Genomic DNA, 17,693 nt, shown 5'->3' on the forward strand with positions numbered 1-17,693 from the left:
TTCACGTTGTTATGTGGTGGAATATATATCACATTTAAGCTAATAATATGATTTTATTTTTATCTGGGAAATACATGCCAGTACTACTCAGGAATTTGCTTAATCTGGCTTATATTTTGCAGAGATGTCATCTCTAAGCTTTCAAGGTAGCATTTAATGTTGCTTTATTTTTTAGTCAGCATTATAGAAAAGTAAATACAAAAAACTTCATGCAGTTGTTTATGTATTTGCTTTTTGTGTACCCATGAAATCATCTTTTATTTGGTTCAGATTTTACATTTGTGGGGCTCCTTGGCCAGGGAGTCAGGCAGAGGCTATTCAAGGTCAAGGGGAAAATACATGTGTGATTGTAGTGTTATTTGTTAAGGTTCTTTTCTGTTTTATGTTTTCTATCTTCTAAGCCAGTCGTGAAGTTACACTGTGTTCAATCTTGTTCTCTAGGTTCATTTCCAGGTTTATTATTAAAGTATATTAAACTTCTTGTTCAGCAAAGTGTGAGCTCCTGTTGTTGGATACTTGAGCAGCACTGTTATTTTGTAAAACACACATACTCATACCCAACAAGACATAGGCTGTTCTGTGCTGCAAGCACAGACACTCCTAAAGGCAGATATTTCACAGGATTTGTATCATTTTTGTCAAATTCTAACTCTCTTATTTGCAGTGACCGAGTTTTCATACATTTGATGATAGTTTTTGAATGAACATTGCTATGTGGTTATAAACTGATGGCAATGGCATTCATTTTAACTTAATTCAGAGACAAGAAAAGAGCAAAACTCTGTAGGCAAAGGCTGTGTTCAGAGTTCCATTGCTTTCAGGATTCATGTCATCAGGGCTCAGTGTTCTGGCTCCCCTGAAAAAGCTAATTCAGTTTCTTTACTTACCCCGCAGACAGTTGGCTGTGTGCCACGAGCTGTTGACAGTTACTGCTTCTCTTGAGGCTGATTAGCATGCAATGTTACACTGTCCCTAAGAATAATTTTGCTTACCTATATAATAATTCAAGAATTTAATCATTTCCAAACATGTCCTAAATTATTTAGTCCTTTGTCAGCATCTCAATTGAGTTCTAGAAGTTATTTTTTTTTAAACATTCACTGTGAGTGTAGTAGTGTGTTAAATACATTAAGGAAAGTGTTTCCAAACAGACTGTTGTTTCTAAAAATAGATTTCCTTGCATTCTTTTGTTACATTATAGTTGCATCTCTCATCTGAGGATAACAACAGTCCTGTGAGGCCAAAATGTTAGCTGTGTCTCCCCTTTTCATAGAGGAGGAAACGGAAACTGAGGCCAAGGTAGGGTAAGGATTTTGCCCAGATTCACGTAGCTGCCTGTGGTCTGCAGCCCAGCGCCCCTGCCCCCTCCACCTCCTGGCAGGCCTGTGGGCAGATCCTGTCTTCTGGGAGGGGAATGGGCATATAACCAGAACACAGAAGAGGATTATAGTGTCTAACCCACCATCATCAGGTGTGCAGAGACCATTAATCTCACAGAGGAGATTCGTATTCTGCTGTTGTAAGAGGAGGACTCCTCTGGCAGTGAGGGGAGGACTGCGTCCGGCTTGGCCAGGGGTCCACCAGAGGTCCCCCGTCTGCCACTTTCTGAGTGACAGCCAAGCCTGGGTCATTCTTTTCACCCCACTCACTGCATCAGGAAACTGTGTAGTTTTTGAGGTTTGCATTAAACAAACATTTGATACCCTTTCATTCTGCTCCACATTAAAAGCTAGACATACATTTCATTATAGGAAAAGCAAAAACATGTAATAGAAAAAGGCAGTTTATTTCTTATTTTCTAACCTTTGGGATTTTAAAATTTTGACAGTCATCTCTCTGTTCTCTCCTCTCTTGGCCCAACGTGCTGTCACTTCTCCGTGGTAGGATTGCCTTTCCCTTCTGCCTGCTCCATACAGTGTTATACTCACCAGCTCGCAGATCTGTTAGCAAATACTGTTTAGTCAGGCTCTTGCTCAGCCAGCTAATACAGAGCTACTATTTATGAAGGGTCATTCACCAGGGAAGCACTCTGCTAACTACTTTTCACATAGGACCTCCTGTAATTCCTCCAACCACCTCATTAAGTTGGGTATTCTAACTATTCCTATTTTATATATGAAAAAATTGAGGCATAATGAGGACACCTGCTCAACATCATGTAGCTAATACGTGATAAAGCTGGGGTTTGAGCCCTGTTTTGCTGGACTCCATAGCCAGTGGTCTACCAAAGAAGAGACTGATTTTGTCCCTTCCTTGGCCAGATTAGGTAGTTGTGATCTATCATTGTTTTCTGGCACATCTCCCTTCAAATAATGTAAACCTTTTCTAAAAAGTAGCTAGCAGCTTTTGCACCTAGAGAATTTTTTTTGTCTGTTCTGATGTTCAATTAAGCAGACTAGTCTAGTGTTCAACATATAAGCCAAGAATTGCACTTTCTTCTTATTTATGCCTTATGGCACTAGAGCAAAGAAGTAGTTCCAGGTGGATCTTCTGATAATAAAAATGATTAGTGTTGAGACCAACATTGTTACTTCTTTACTTGTTGCCAATTTTTACACATTTGAGAACTCTGTAGTTGACTGTGTAGTCAGTTGCATACAAGTTAATGTCTTGTGCGAGATTTTAAGGTTAATTTCTTCCTGCTTACTCTTCCACCTCCCAGATGTTTTCCTTTATTTTCCCTAGGAGATGGAAATGGAAATGTTATTCTTCTTTATTGTTGCGGGTAATGCCTTAAGAAAAATCAGATCCAAGACTGTGTGCATGCACGCACATGTGTGCGTGTGTGTGTGTGTGTGTGTGTGTTTGAGAGAGAGAGAGGTTGGTGGGGAATGAAGAGAGAGGATTTAATTGCCAAGATGATTACAGATTAAGCTACAAAAAGCAAGAGAGCTATTGGTCTGAAACTGTGTTGTGTCTGTAGAGTGCACTCTGATTCACAGAAAATTTTGTCAACATTAAATGCGATGGGAGTTGAGTTTTCAGAGGTGGTAACTATGAAGGGGTTGGTCATGTAATGCTGTGCACATATTAGAGCAACAGGCAGTGCTCTCGCACTGCTTTTACCTGGATTTATAAAATGCCCAGTCCTTATACTCTTGAGCATGACCAGATCCATTTCCTGTTTTTTTCACATTTCTTTTTCTAAGAATAAACAGAACCCTAGGAAGGGAAGGTAGCTTCAAATACAAGCCATTTTAAGTATCCTGGTCTCTTAATTCCTTTTTTATTTTTTTTTGGATGACTTGAGGACAATAAGGTGTTTGTTTATTTATTTATTTATTTTGGTTTTAAGGAGCAGAGAGTTTAATAGGCAAGAAGGAAGGAAGAAGACAGAAGGAAGAAGCTCCCCCGTACAGAGACAGATGGGGGCTCCAAAACTGAAAGAGGAGATCCCCCTCTTAATTCTTAAACTATTTTTAAAATGAATGTTGACTTTCCTGAAGTTATAAACTGTTTTTAACTCTTATCAGTCCTCCTTGATTTTCCTTGTTCAGGTTCCATCTTTTTAACATCCTTTCCTCTCGCAGTAACTACAGCATGATTTGTTTTACCCCTCAGCACTCAGCTATCACAGTCATAGCTCTCTCATCTGAGCAGCCTCTCCCTCAATCTTACAAACAGTAGGCATCCACAAGGAAGTCAAAGAAAGGGTCTCTGAGCTGCCACACACTCATAAGAGGCCTCCTTAGTCCTACTCCCAGGACACATTTGTTCTTGTTTATGGATGATTCTTAACTGGCTGATTATCCCATTTCTATTTCAGTAGCCAATTTAAAAGCAGAAAATTAGATGTGGAAAATTGTACTTAGGTTGGTAAACTGAAAAATGACACGACATGCCTTGACTCTATTCAGTTAGAGTCATTTATTTATTTTTACATGTTTGTAACTTGCCCCATTCCACAGCGGACTTGAGGCAGCTGACATTCTTACAGAAAGAGTCCCTTGTTATGTCTTTAATGGATGCAGCCTCCTTAAAACAGCTCAGGATTGAAAAAACTCTTGTGCAGAACAGTTAATTGAAGTGTTCTGCTAACATTTTTTGTTGCTTTATTAATGCTTGCCCTGGGAATCATATCATAAACAGTTTAGGTAAACAATAAGTTAACAACACTGAGAATTTTCCTGTTTCACCAAACGTGTCTTATCTACAGGCTGCAGACATTCAGCATTACCTTGTCCCTTGCTTCTGTTCTCTTTATAAAGCTCTGGACAAGAGGCACACAACAGACGTGTCCCAGCTGCTGACTCAGTGTGACAGAGCACTGTTGCCAGTGCCCAGGTGACTGCAGTGGGCCACACTGCAGGATTGATGGTTTAACTCTCTGTAGCTTCCAAATCAGATTATTTTCATTTGCGCAAAGGCACACCAGCAGGGGTGTGTACTGTTTGACGCACAGATGACAATCTGGCCGGAAGCTAGTACTTGGGGAAAAAAATAAGGGAAAGGAAAATGATAGTTTTGAAACAACATAGTTATAAAACACAGCATGTATCTATATTTTTCTTCTGAAAAATGTGAAAATTTTCACCCTGGAAAAATACCCAGAAACCAAGCAATAGCTTCCCTGTGTTTTGGCATTTATATAACAGTTTGTATAAAAGGACAACGCTGATTCCAATACTACGTGTGATTGTGCCAAAAAATCATGAGATGAAACAATCAGTATGTTTGCACTTTTGGTTTGAAATTTTTTAAGAGTATAACAATGAAAAGCAAAAAAGGAGGGAGTGAAAGAAGAATCTGCCCTACAGTTGAAGAGCATAGGGGAGGTGGCATAGATTGAAAAGCCAGGTGTCTGCATAACCAATGGTTAGAGAACCACCACCAAGATGAGGAGGTGAAGGAGATTAGCATGAAGATGGGGAGTAGGAAGGAGGAAATGCCGCGAAATGGTGCCAACTTGTTTGACTAAAATTCAGAATCCTACAAGGACTTCCAGAAAATATAAACAGCTGCACAGTTTGAATTATATACTTCCTACATTTCTTCAGTTTTCAGAAGCACGTGATTCTGTCCTTTCAGCAGTGCTGTGAAGGAGAGGAGGCACATAGCCCTCGTTTATAAGCCAGGTGACCGTTAGGCCTCATGACATTCTGTGCCATGGACAGCTGTAACAGACTGGAGACAAAGCCGTGCCTCCACCTGCAAAACTGGCCATGCTTTCTAGAAAGCCGAAGTTGCATTTCATAGACTGCACCAGAGGCTGTAATACCCACTTCTAAAAAGAACAAACACTTTGTGAGGCACTGAATTTAGGCCATTGGGAAGGAGAGGAAGGGCCTACCTAAGGAGGATCTGTGCCCAGGAAGTGTTGCTCAGTCCCTGAGACATTAATAGGAGGGAGTTCAGGTAAGGCAGCCAGTGGTCACTTGGAGAAAGGAGGATAAGTGGGTTCGAGGCATCAGCTTGCCCTGGACCTGCAGTGTTGGCAGCAGGTTCCAAGGATTTGCCTGCCAGCTGTTGAGGCTAAAAATCTAGGAATAGGCACATGGTTTTCCAACCCCCTGTACTCCACCTAACACAGTGCTCAGGAATAATTGTTTCATTTTATAAAACAAACTGCAGAAGACTTGTATTTGCCAGATCCCAAATTGGAAATGAGTGTCTTCTCTAAAACTCCTTTGTCTGACTGCCAAGGTAACTAGACTTATCACGATGAGAGACTAGGCCAAAACACACACCCATAGGGGCCCAGCATACTGTTTTAAGAGTTCTCCCTTTTTGTGTAGATGCTCAAAGGGAAATTGTACTTACGGAAACCTTCAGCTGTCTGAAACCATCGGTGAATGGGTGATTCTATAGAGAAGAGTTTTATAAATAGTTGATAATTTAAATGTTCAGATTTTATTTTAACCTTCTTTTGCATGGTTATGGCCTCCCTTGAGACGAATTGCTTGGTTCCTTTTGTGTGAAAGAGGGATAACAACCCTCAACTGGGAGAATACTGATGAGCTTAGCATACGTATCCTGATAACATGTGACAGCCACGAGAGGAACTCCATGAAGTTTAGCTTCCTGCCTCTTGCCAGCCTCGAAGAGACTACACAGCAAGAAGTCCTTGACTTGAATAACAGTTATTTTGTGTTAAGGTAGATTTCCTCTATGCACAATGGCCCTAGGCTGCTATTCTTTTTTAGCTTTGGACTTTTTTTTTTTTTAATAGTTTTTCCACCTCCTTTTCTTAGTTTTGAAAAAAAGTGTACTGATAAAAAACTTTACCAACTTCCTGCTGTATTATGCTAGAAGCTTTATCTGTGTCACCTCATTTAATCTTCATGGCAAGATGTCTTTTTCATTGGTCTGCATATGTGTGGCTTAATTAAATCATTTCGTAGCTGTGATTCGTTTTTTCCAAATTCCAGAAGTTGTTTTGCTGGATGTAGATCAGAAGTGGGAACAACTTAGTTCCCTTAATTTGCCTAAGGCAGATTTTCCTTAAGTCGCTATTAAAAGTGCTCGCATTGTTAGGTGAACCAAGTGTTGAATGGTACTTTACAAAGGTAAGAACATTAACATCTACCACTTAGTTGAAGCTCACCACGTGCCTGTGCCAGACACTGTCTGAAACCCTTCATGTATTTCCATTAAAACAGCTCTATTTGACTTAGAGGAACTGATATCATGCCTTAAAATGAAAAAAGTGTTTCATCAAAGGCAATATGAAAATAATTTGTTTTGATGGAAAAACTGTCTTTTTAGTGCACAGTGAAAGCTTAAGAGGATAGGGAGCAGAGCCAGCTCTAGTTTGTACATATTAGAAAAGGATGCCCTCTCTGGGCAGACACTGCACAGGCTTGGTGAATGGATGGTCCTCTTGTGCCTCTGATTCTCTGACGCTAGGCTGTGTGGCGCAGGGAGCTGAGTGCAGGGTAGATTTCAGCTTCTTGTGCGCTGTTGTGCATTGCACAGCCTGGCCTAACTACATGGCAGCTGAAGTGTGTGTTTGCATGTTGTAGGTGGGGTAGAGTGGGCGAAGGTGTTGATGGAGAAAGGGCAAAGGATGAACGAAGGAGAAGGGAACACGTACAGGACAAAATGATACCTTGGCAAATGGTGAACAATCGAGGACATTATTTGAGAATTGGGAAGGAGAGGAAGGGGTAAATGGCTGCAGCCGACCCCTGTTCAAGGCCTGTAAGGCAGTTTGGTCCTCCCAGTGACCCCTGATGCTCGTGCCTCCGTCCACCTCTACAGCCTGTGGCCAAAACCCAAAGGAATAAAGAGGGCCCTGGAAAACCCAAGCAAATTGCACTATTCTCACCACCACTGCCGCTGCCAAGGGAGTCTTTCTTTCCTTAACCGTAACTCCCTCTCTGGTCTTAATTTCTAACTTCAGAGCTTAATAATGCTTCTTCTTAAGGGGCAGAGGAATTCTTAGGCTCCCAGTGCTCTCTGGGAGAAGGACTTAGAGACACTGGGGGATGGTGTGAAATACTTTAGAGCTTTGACATTCTCCCCCTTGACTCATATGGGGGTTCCCTGTCACTGAGTAGTATTCAGCCCATAGGTGGTGAGACCCAGCCCTTGGTCTCTGAAGACCATCCTGGTCTCTACTCGCATGTTGTCCTGTTCCCCTATGGCTTGCAGATGTGCAGAAAAAGGCCACAATTGTGGATTGGGTGCAGTCATAATAATAGGAAAGCAAAATATGAAAGCAGATGTAGAGAGAGGAAAATCTAATTGTAAAAGAGCCTGTTTATAAGTTGCATACATGTCTTGATTATTTTTCTTCTTTTCATACTAGAAAATATTTGATCATTTATTATTATTAACTCCATTGAGGGCCAAATGCAGATTTCAATACTGTGTTTAGTAACTCTCTGAAGTTGCAGAAGGGCAAAATAAGTCACAGTAGGTTTTTCGTTCATTTTTCTAATTTAGGCATCATTCACTCTAATTTCATAAGATTTGAATGCAGTTTGCTAAAATTCCAGAAGGAGATTAATTTACCAGTTCGTGTCATATAATACTTGTTTTCCCGTACCATCCAGCACCCATTTTGGCAAATAGAAATATACAAGGATGGTGGAGATCGATGTACTTTAGAGTGTATTTCTGAGAGCAAATGACTTCATAGTCTACAAAATAGTGGGGCAGTATAAATTCATCTTATGTGAAAATATGGATGAACATGGCTTTTAAAAGGAGAAAAGAAAGGAGACCGATGAATGTGTATATATACTTTTAAAAGCTCTGGTTTAGAAATCAGAACAGGTTCAGAAATATCCAGAATAATGCCTAGATGGCTTTCAATATTCATTTGAATGGGCTGATTTCAGGTGTCCATCTTCAGTTATAGGAATACTTGCTTCCATACAATGATTTAATACTGCTTGCAGACCTCATAGAGACGTGATTTAGACTCAGGGAAAAGCAGATTCTGGCATTGTTTACTCAATCTGTCTTGAATCTCATATCCCACCTGGTGGTGACTATGACCTAGTGTGTGGTCTGCACAGTTAATAAGTTGGAATCTTCTCACTTGGAAAGTCCATTGTGATTTGCCCTCTGGTGTCTTTTTAAAAACTCATTAATAGCTTACTCAGAAACTTAGCTGGTAAAATTGTTGCACTTGAGAAAAGGGCCATCTGTTCAAAGTTCAGTAGGGATAGAATTCTTACAGTATAATGTAAAGTGTTATGTATCTTTCTCTCCTTTTAGAAACTGAGCTCACAGACAAGTTCTACCCACTGCAGTTTGTCAGGATTTTTTAAATTATTAGCTCACAAAAGCAAATCAGAATTTAATATATTTTTTGTGTAATAGTTTGATTTCTGTATATATACATGGAAGGAAATGTTTTGCTACATTTTTGCAGGGCTTGTTGTATTTTAACAAGGTAATCTTTTTTTCACTGGACTTGTGAGACTCATAAAAATGTCAACACGTGAAGTATAGTTGAATTAAAATGCAAAAACCTGGCCCCCATACCCTCTTCCTGTCTGCCTCAGCTCCCTTCTCTGGGTCCCCTCCTATTTGGTACATAATCCTGCCATAGCACCAGCCACACTGCCCTGTAATTGCTGATAGTAATTACTAAGTGGTTTCTCCCCCAGTGCTCTGCCTCATTTGAAGTTCTTGGTGTGTGCACATAACTGTATGTTCAGTGGATGTCCCCATAGCCTACCGTAATGCTGGGTGCTTAGTACGCGGAGAGTGAGTAAATACATGTGCGTGTGCATATGTAATCAGTGTTTGGTAAGGATGAACAATGAGGATGGAGGTCTGACCCTGGTAAACAGGGAAACGATGGGGCCCGTCCAGGAATTCCGAGCAGCAGCTGTGTGAACTTTGGACTTCAGAGGCACAGGCTGAGGTGGGGCATCAGGCTGCTGTTAGGAGAGCAGTGTTGGAGCGAGGCAGAGGCTGGCTGCTCCAGGAAGATTCCTGAGGTATCAGGAAGGTTTCTGAGAGCTCCGACTGAGTACAGCGTGTGAAAGAGGTAAGACTACCAGGAGTGATGCGACCACAAAGCTGTCAGATGTGGAGGATGAGGAGCCCGTGATTAGAGGGAGTTGGAATGAGGCTGGTACCACACCAAGTCCCTCCTGGAGCTCCCAGAATGATGGGAGATGGGGCCCACGTTGGGCTGAATGGAGCACATTTTCAAGTGAGGTCCTGTGCTAGCTGTGGGGGTGGCAGAGCCTGGGCCATTCTACTGGGGACACGCCAAGAGGGCTGCAGTGAGGGAAGGGGCAGGGGCAGCGGTCACAACGCCCAGCAGCATCACCTTTTCAGGAGTGGTGGTGCCCACTTTGGTACTTCTCCCTCGGTTTTCCTTGTCCTAGAGGAGGCAGAAGCCACCGAAGGAGAGCCTGGAGAAAACCTATCCAGAGAAGCCTCTGACTAGGGGCAGCCCCAGAACCACTGCACAGCTGCCCTTCCATGGTCTAGCATGTCACCAAGGTGGGCAGGGGGTCCCTTGCTCCACTAGTCCCCATTCTGGTGTTTGGGGATATGTATGTCATGTGGAAACTGAGGCACAGAGAGGTTGCAAATCTTGTGATAATATACTGTGAAACCTGGATTTGAACTCAGTCTGGTTTCAGAATCTGTGTTTTTAACACTAGTCTGCACTCCCTTTCCCAGTGCAGAAACTGACTGCCAGAGTGAAGGTTGCCAAAGGAAGACCCAGCATACCAAACAGGAAAAAAAAAAGAAGAAGAAGAAGAAGTCAGGTCAAGTGAGCCTGAGTCGCTCTCATAGTTTGATTGAGACCCCAGGCTCACCTTGCTTATCTGACATAGGTCTGACCCACCTGTCTCGTTAGCCCACCACTGCCTGACCCAGCAAGGATTTCGCTCCCAGGTTCTTGCACATGCGTGGCTAACCCAGGCCCAGGCTGCTTCTCCATTCCTTCCATTTGCTTTTCACCCCTGCCCACCTCACTGATGATCAGCCTCACTGGCCAGCCCACCAGTGCTGCCATCTGCTTCTTGGATGTATTCCTTGCTGCCAGGCAAACCTTGCTTCCTGGATTATTTGGAGGCAGAGAGGTGCTTTGTCCTTTTCTGGTAACAATTAATGACACAAAGGCAAGGTGAAAAGGCGCTGTGCTTTTTTTCTAATCCACTTGTATGGATTTCAGACCAAATTTTTAAATAAATGTACAGGTAATTAAGTATCCCTCAAATTGTATTGATGGGCATGTGTTTGCACAACAATTACTTTATGAAGTCGTAGTTTACCTTCCCCTTCCAGACGTAGATGCCATGGCACTTGTGTTAAGATTGGTAATATTCTGTGAGCTGTTGGAAACTTTTCGAATGTGCCCTTTAATTTATTTTACTGAAAAAGAAGTTTATGCCCTGGGATGTCTCCATTACAATGAAATGATATTTTGTTTGTTCAGGCATAAGTTTTGAAATTCTGGAGTACCTTGACTGATATTTAGTGAACTTTATATCTTCAGATATTAGCACTTTAAAAACTCATGTTTGGTGATAATCAAATTTTGCAGAACATGTACCTTAGTAGGAATTACTCACATTAAAAAATGACTTTTTACTTTATGAAATACTCACCACAGTGTTTCTTTAAGTAGAAGGCCCCCAGGGCTCTAAAATTTGATTCCTCTATAAAAGTTTAAATGTCTGTGGCAATTTTCAGGAATGTGTCTATTATACAAAATGAAAACAAATTATCTAATAAAATATTAGTTATATTTTATTTTAAAGATAGTTACCAAGTTCTCCTCTTCCAGTTGCTCAACATTTCAGCCCAGAAGTCATTAGGTGGGCCTGGGCAAGGTAACTGTGTGTGTGGGGAGCGGGGCACTGGGCCAGGGCAGGCCAGCTGGGATGACTAGGTTTGGATGGCAGAGCTTGAGAGGGATGAGATGGGGGTGTGTGAGGAGTGGCAGTAGCTGCCCAACTCAGGGTGTTTGAGCCCACTTAGAGTGAGGAGAGTGCCCCACTGGGGCTGGGCCTGGTGGTGGCAGTGAATGAGTGGTTAGTTACATACAGGAAAATAGATCAAATACCTAAGTATATCTGGGATAACTGGAGCCAGATTTCTCACTTCAGAGAAAATAATTACAAAAATGGAAAGGAGAAAACGAGAATGAATGCTGTGGTGGTAGTTTTGAATTGGAGTTATTGGTATGAGTTCATGGATTTCAGTACGTGCAGACATAGAAATAAGTATAGATGCAAATATGAATATATGTGTACATAGCTATAGACTTACATGTAGTCTCTAGCTCTGTTTGCTGGCGAAGCCTGGGAGCAGCAGCACTCCAGTAGCAGTAAGTACAGCGGACATCCAGATCTCGGTTTCTATATATCATTCTGCCCAGAAAGGAACCAGGGCTCCTTGGAGAACTGACCAATTCCAGGGTCTGGGGAGGGAAAGTACAAAATAGACCTGAACATTGTGTTGTGCCAAAAAGTAAGAGAGTGCTCAAAAATTACAGAGGGCTTTCAGAAGGGCTCATAAGCCAGATTGAAGGAGTTCCACCAGCAAATCTGGACAGTATAAGCACCGAAGTAAATTTTAAAGTTACCCACCAAAAAAATGCAGATTCAAACTAAGGAATGAATCTGTGCCACTGCTAGGAGTGGAACTAAAAAGCCAAGGGTTACCCCTTCATTGCTTCTAGGCATCGAAAATAATGTATCACTCCTAATATACGTAGTACAATGCTTTAATAATTTTATCTGAATAGAAGGCCATGCTTTCAAAGAAGGCTCCTGCCCTGTAAAACTTTCATTTCAGGAGATAATAGAACAATAGCCATGTATAAAAGACAGCATTTTCATTTCAAATGGATATTAAGCATTTCTAGTTTGTGACAGGAACATTATTATTTGAAGTCAGCCATACTGATCTATCTTGCTGTGGTTCATCTTTCCCTTTTTCAGCATGATGCAGCCACTCATCAGTGCCACTCTGGGAACCTATATGTAGATCCATAGCTGTTGGAAGGAAAAAGAAACAATTTTTTAAAACCCTGGAGAATTAGACTTCTGATCTATACTATATATCTATAAAGGCCTAATTTTTATTCAAGGATACCTAAGTTGAATATCTTTTATTTATTTTTATTTTGTTCACAGTTAATCATGTATTTTATAATTAGGTGACAAAAATATTCAGTAACTTTATTATGGGAAAATACACGATTATAAACTTAACATTTTTTAAAAACTGGATTAAAAAATTCACCTGCTTAATTTGCGTTAAGATTTAAAAAATGGCTAGGTGGGTTCCAAGATGGCTGAATAGGAACAGTTCCAGTCTACAGCTCCCAGTGTGAGCGATGCAGAAGACGGATGATTTCTGCATTTCCAACTGAGGTACCAGGTTCATCTCACTGGGGCTTGTTGGACAGTGGGTGCAGCCCACGGAGTGTGAGCTGAGGCAGGGTGGGGTATCCCCTCACCTGGGAAGCGCAAGAGATCAGGGAATTCCCTTTCCTAGCCAAGGGAAGCCGTCACAGACGGTACCTGGAAAATCGGGACACTCCCACCCTAATACTGTGCTTTTCCAACAGTCTTAGCAAACAGCACACCAGGAGATTATATCCCACACCTGGCTTGGGGGTCCCACACCCACAGAGCCTTGCTCATTGCTAGCACAGCAGTCTGAGATCGAACTGCAAGATGGCAGCAAGGCTCGGGGAGGGGCGTCTGCCATTGCTGAGGCTTGAGTAGGTAAACAAAGCAGCCAGGAAGCTCGAACTGGGAGGAGCCCACCGCAGGAGGCCTGCCTGTCTCTGTAGACTCCACCTGTGGGGGCAGGGAATAGCTGAACAAAAGGCAGCAGAAGCTTTTGCAGACTTAAGCATCCCTGTCTGACAGCTTTGAAGAGAGTAGTGGTTCTCCCAGCACGGAGTTTGAGATCTGAGAACGGACAGACTGCCTCCTCAGTTGGGTCCCTGACCCCTGAGTAGCCCAACTGGAAGACACTTCCCAGTAGGGGCTGACTGACACCTCATACAGCAGGGTGCCCCTCTGAGACGAAGCTTCCAGAGGAAGGATCAGGCAGCAACATTTGTTGTTCTGCAATATTTGCTGTTCTGCAGCCTCCACTGGTGATACCAAGGCAAACGGGGTCTGGAGTAGACCTCCAGCAAACTCCAACAGACCTGCAGCTGAGGGTCCTGACTGTTAGAAGGAAAAGTAACAAACAGAAAGGACATCCACACCAAAACCCCATCTGTACGTCACCATCATCAAAGACCAAAGGTAGATAAAACCAAAAAGATGGGGAGAAACCAGAGCAGAAAAGCTGAAAATTCTAAAAACCAGAGTGCCTCTTCTCCCCCAAAGGAATGCAGCTCCTCACCAGCAACAGAACAAAGCTGGACAGTGAATGACTTTCACGAGTTGACAGAAGTGGGCTTCAGACGATCGGTAATAATAAACTTCTCTGAGCTAAAGGACGATGTTCAAACCCATTGCAAAGATGCTAAAAACCTTGAAAAAAGATTGGACAAATGGCTAACCAGAATAAACAGCCTAGAGAAGACCTTAAATGACTTGATGGAGCTGAAAACCATGGCACGAGAACTGCGTGATGCATGCAGAAGCTTCAGTAGCTGATTCAATCAAGTTGAAGACAGGGTGTCAGTGATTGAAGATCAAATGAATGAAATGAAGCGAGAAGAAAAGTTTAGAGAAAAAAGAGTAAAAAGAAACGAACAAAGCCTCCAAGAAATACAAGACTATGTGAAAAGACCAAATCCATTTCTGATTGGTGTACGTGAAAGTGAAGGGGAGAATGGAACCAAGTTGGGAAACACTCTTCAGGGTATTATCCAGGAGAACTTCCCCAACCTAGCAAGGCAGGCCAGCATTCAAATTCATGAAATACAGAGAATGCCACAAAGATACTCCTCTAGAAGAGCAACTCCAAGACACATGATTGTCAGATTCACCAAAGTTGAAATGAAGGAAAAAATGTTAAGGGCAGCCAGAGAGAAAGGTCGGGTTACCCACAAAGGGAAGCCCATCAGACTAACAGCAGATCTCTCGGCAGAAACCCTACAAGCCAGAAGAGAGTGGGGGCCAGTATTCAACATTCTTAAAGAAAAGAGTTTTCATGCCAGAATTTCATATCCAGCCAAACTAAGCTTCAGAAGTGAAGGAGAAATAAAATCCTTTACACACAAGCAAATGCTGAGAGATTTTGTGACCACGAGGCCTGCCTTACAAGAGCTCCTGAAGGAAGCACTAAACATGGAAAGGAACAACTGGTACCAGCCACTGCAAAAACATGCCAAATTGTAAAGACCATTGATGCTAGGAAGAAACTCCATCAACTAACAAGCAAAATAACCAGCTAACATCACAATGACAGGATCAAATTCACACGTAACAATATTAATGTTAAATGTAAATGGGCTAAATGTTCCAATTAAAAGACACAGACTGGCAAATTGGATAAAGAGTCAAGACCCATCAGTGTGCTGTATTCAGGAGACCCATCTCACGTGCAGAGACACACAGAGGCTGAAAATAAAGGGATGGAGGAAGGTCTACCAAGCAAATAGAAAACAAAACAAAACAAAAGGCAGGGGTTGCAATCCTAGTCTCTGATAAAACAGACTTTAAACCAACAGATCAAAAGAGACAAAGAAGGCCATTACATAATGGTAAAGGGATCAATTCACCAAGAAGAGCTAACTATCCTAAATATATATGCACCCAATATAAGAGCACCCAGATTCATAAAGCAAGTCTTTAGAGACCTACAAAGAGACTTAGACTTCCACACAGTAAAGTGGGGGGACACTTTAATACACCACTGTCAACATTAGACAGATCAACGAGACAGAAAGTTAACAAGGATATCCAGGACTTGAACTCAGCCCTGCACCAAGCAGACCTAATAGACATCTACAGAACTCTCCACCCCAATTCAACAGAATATACATTCTTCTCAGCACCACATTGCACTTATTCCAAAACTGACCACATAGCTGGAAGTAAAGCACTCCTCAGCAAATGTAAAAGAACAGAAATTATAACAAACTGTCTGTCAGACCACAATGCAATCAAATTAGAACTCAGGATTAAGAAACTCACTCAAAACTGCTCAACTACATGGAAACTGAACAACCTGCTCCTGAATGACTACTGGGTACATAACGAAATGAAGGCAGAAATAAAGATGTTCTTTGAAACCAATGAGAACAAAGACACAACATACCAGAATCTCTGGGACACATTTAAAGCAGCGTGTAGAGGGAAGTTTATAGCACTAAATGCTCACAAGAGAAAGCAGGAAAGATGTAAAATTGACACCCTAACATCACAATTAGAAGAACTAGAGAAGCAAAAGCAAACACATTCAAGAGCTAGCAGAAGGCAAGAAATAACTAAGATCAGAGCATAACTGAAGGAGACAGAGACACAGAAAACCCTTCAATAAATCAGTGAATCCAGGAGCTGGTTTTTTGAAAAGATCAACAAAATTGATAGACTGCTAGCAAGACTAATAAAGAAGAAAAGAGAGAAGAATCAAATAGATGCAATAAAAAATGATAAAGGGGATATCACCACCGATCCCACAGAAATACAAACCACCATCAGAGAATACTGTAAACACCTCTATGCAAATAAACTAGAAAATCTAGAAGAAATGGATAAATTCCTCGACACATACACCCTCCCAAGACTAATCCAGGAAGAAGTTGAACCCCTGGATAGACAAATAGCAGGCTCTGAAATCGTGGCAATAATTAATAGCTTACCAACCAAAAAAAGTCCAGGACCAGAAGGATTCACAGCCAGATTCTACCAGAGGTACAAAGAGGAGCTGGTACCATTCCTTCTGAAACTATTCCAATCAATAGAAAAAGAGGGAATCCTCCCTAACTCATTTTATGAGGCCAGCATCATCCTGATGCCAAAGCCAGGCAGAGACACAACAAAAAAAGAGAATTTTAGACCAATATCCCTGATGAACATTGATGCAAAAATCCTCAATAAAATACTGGCAAACCAAATCCAGCAGCACATCAAAAAGCTTATCCACCATGATCAAGTTGGCTTCATCCCTGGGATGCAAGGCTGGTTCAACATACGCAAATCAATAAATGTGTTCCATCATATTAGCAGAACCAGAAACAAAAAGCACATGATTATCTCAATAGATGCAGAAAAAGCCTTTGACAAAATTCAACAGCCTTCATGCTGAAAACTCTCAATAAACTAGGTATCAACGGGACATATCTCAAAATAATAAGAGCTATTTATGACAAACCCCCAGCCAGTATCATACTGAATGGGCAAAAACTGGAAGCATTCCCTTTGAAAACTGGCACAAGACAGGGATGCCCTCTCTCACCACTCCTATTCAACATACTGTTGGAAGTTCTGGCCAGGGCAGTCAGGCAGGAGAAAGAAATAAAGGGTATTCAATTAGGAAAAGAGGAAGTCAAATTGTCCCTGTTTGCAGATGACATGATTGTCTATTTAGAAAACCCTATCATCTCAGCCCAAAATCTCCTTAAGCTGAAAGCAACTCCAGCAAAGTCTCAGGATACAAAATCAATGTGCAAAAATCACAAGCATTCCTATACCAATAAGACAAACAGAGAGCCAAATCATGAGTGAAGTCCCATTCACAGTTGCTTCAAAGAGAATAAAATACCTAGGAATCCAACTTACAGGGTATGTGAAGGACCTCTTCAAGGAGAACTACAAACCTCTGCTCAACGAAATAAAAAAGGACACAAACAAATGGAAGAACATTCCATGCTCATGGATAGGAAGAATCAATATCGTGAAATGGCCATACTGCCCAAGGTAATTTATAGATTCAATGCCATCCCCATCAAGCTAGCAGTGACTTTCTTCACAGAATTGGAAAAAACTACTTTAAAGTTCACATGGAACCGAAAAAAGAGCCCACATTGCCAAGTCAATCCAAAGCCAAAAGAACAAAGCTGGAGGCATCAAGCTACCTAACTTCAAACTGTACTACAAGTTTACAGTAACCAAAACAGCTTGGTACTGGTACCAAAACAGAGATATAGACCAATGGAACAGAACAGAGCCCTCAGAAGTAATACCACACATCTACAACCATCTGATCTTTGACAAACCTGACAAAAACAAGAAATGGGGAAGGAATTCCCTGTTTAATAAATGGTGCTGGGAAAACTGGCTAGCCATATGTAGAAAGCTGAAACTGGATCCCTTCCTCACAGCTTATACAAAAATTAACTCAAGATGGAT

General features: G+C 41.7%; 1 protein-coding gene across 7 annotated transcripts in view, besides 1 other annotated feature; it reads left to right on the top strand.

Annotated features, from left to right (window-relative positions):
- PELI2 (pellino E3 ubiquitin protein ligase family member 2) overlaps positions 1–17,693 on the top strand; it is a 183,114-nt gene that overhangs the window by 97,511 nt on the left and 67,910 nt on the right. The window contains exon 1 of one of the 7 annotated variants that reach the window (XM_047431612.1): positions 1–9,448. This exon is cut by the window's left edge and continues 34,558 nt beyond it. The exons of the other annotated variants lie outside the window; for them this stretch is intronic. The gene's annotated coding sequence lies outside the window, so the exon portion shown is untranslated. The remainder of the gene's footprint in view (positions 9,449–17,693) is intronic. 7 annotated transcript variants of the gene reach the window in all.
- Positions 11,639–12,838: an enhancer, noted in NCBI's record as "BRD4-independent group 4 enhancer chr14:56694278-56695477 (GRCh37/hg19 assembly coordinates)". NCBI's record gives its function as "activates an origin of replication core promoter dependent on BRD2, P300/CBP, MED14 and CDK7 cofactors, and independent of BRD4, by STARR-seq in HCT116 cells {active_cell/tissue: HCT116}" and the evidence as "EXISTENCE:reporter gene assay evidence [ECO:0000049][PMID:35650434]".

This window comes from Homo sapiens, chromosome 14 (assembly GCF_000001405.40).
Source record: "Homo sapiens chromosome 14, GRCh38.p14 Primary Assembly".
NCBI classification, from domain to species: domain Eukaryota; kingdom Metazoa; phylum Chordata; class Mammalia; order Primates; family Hominidae; genus Homo; species Homo sapiens.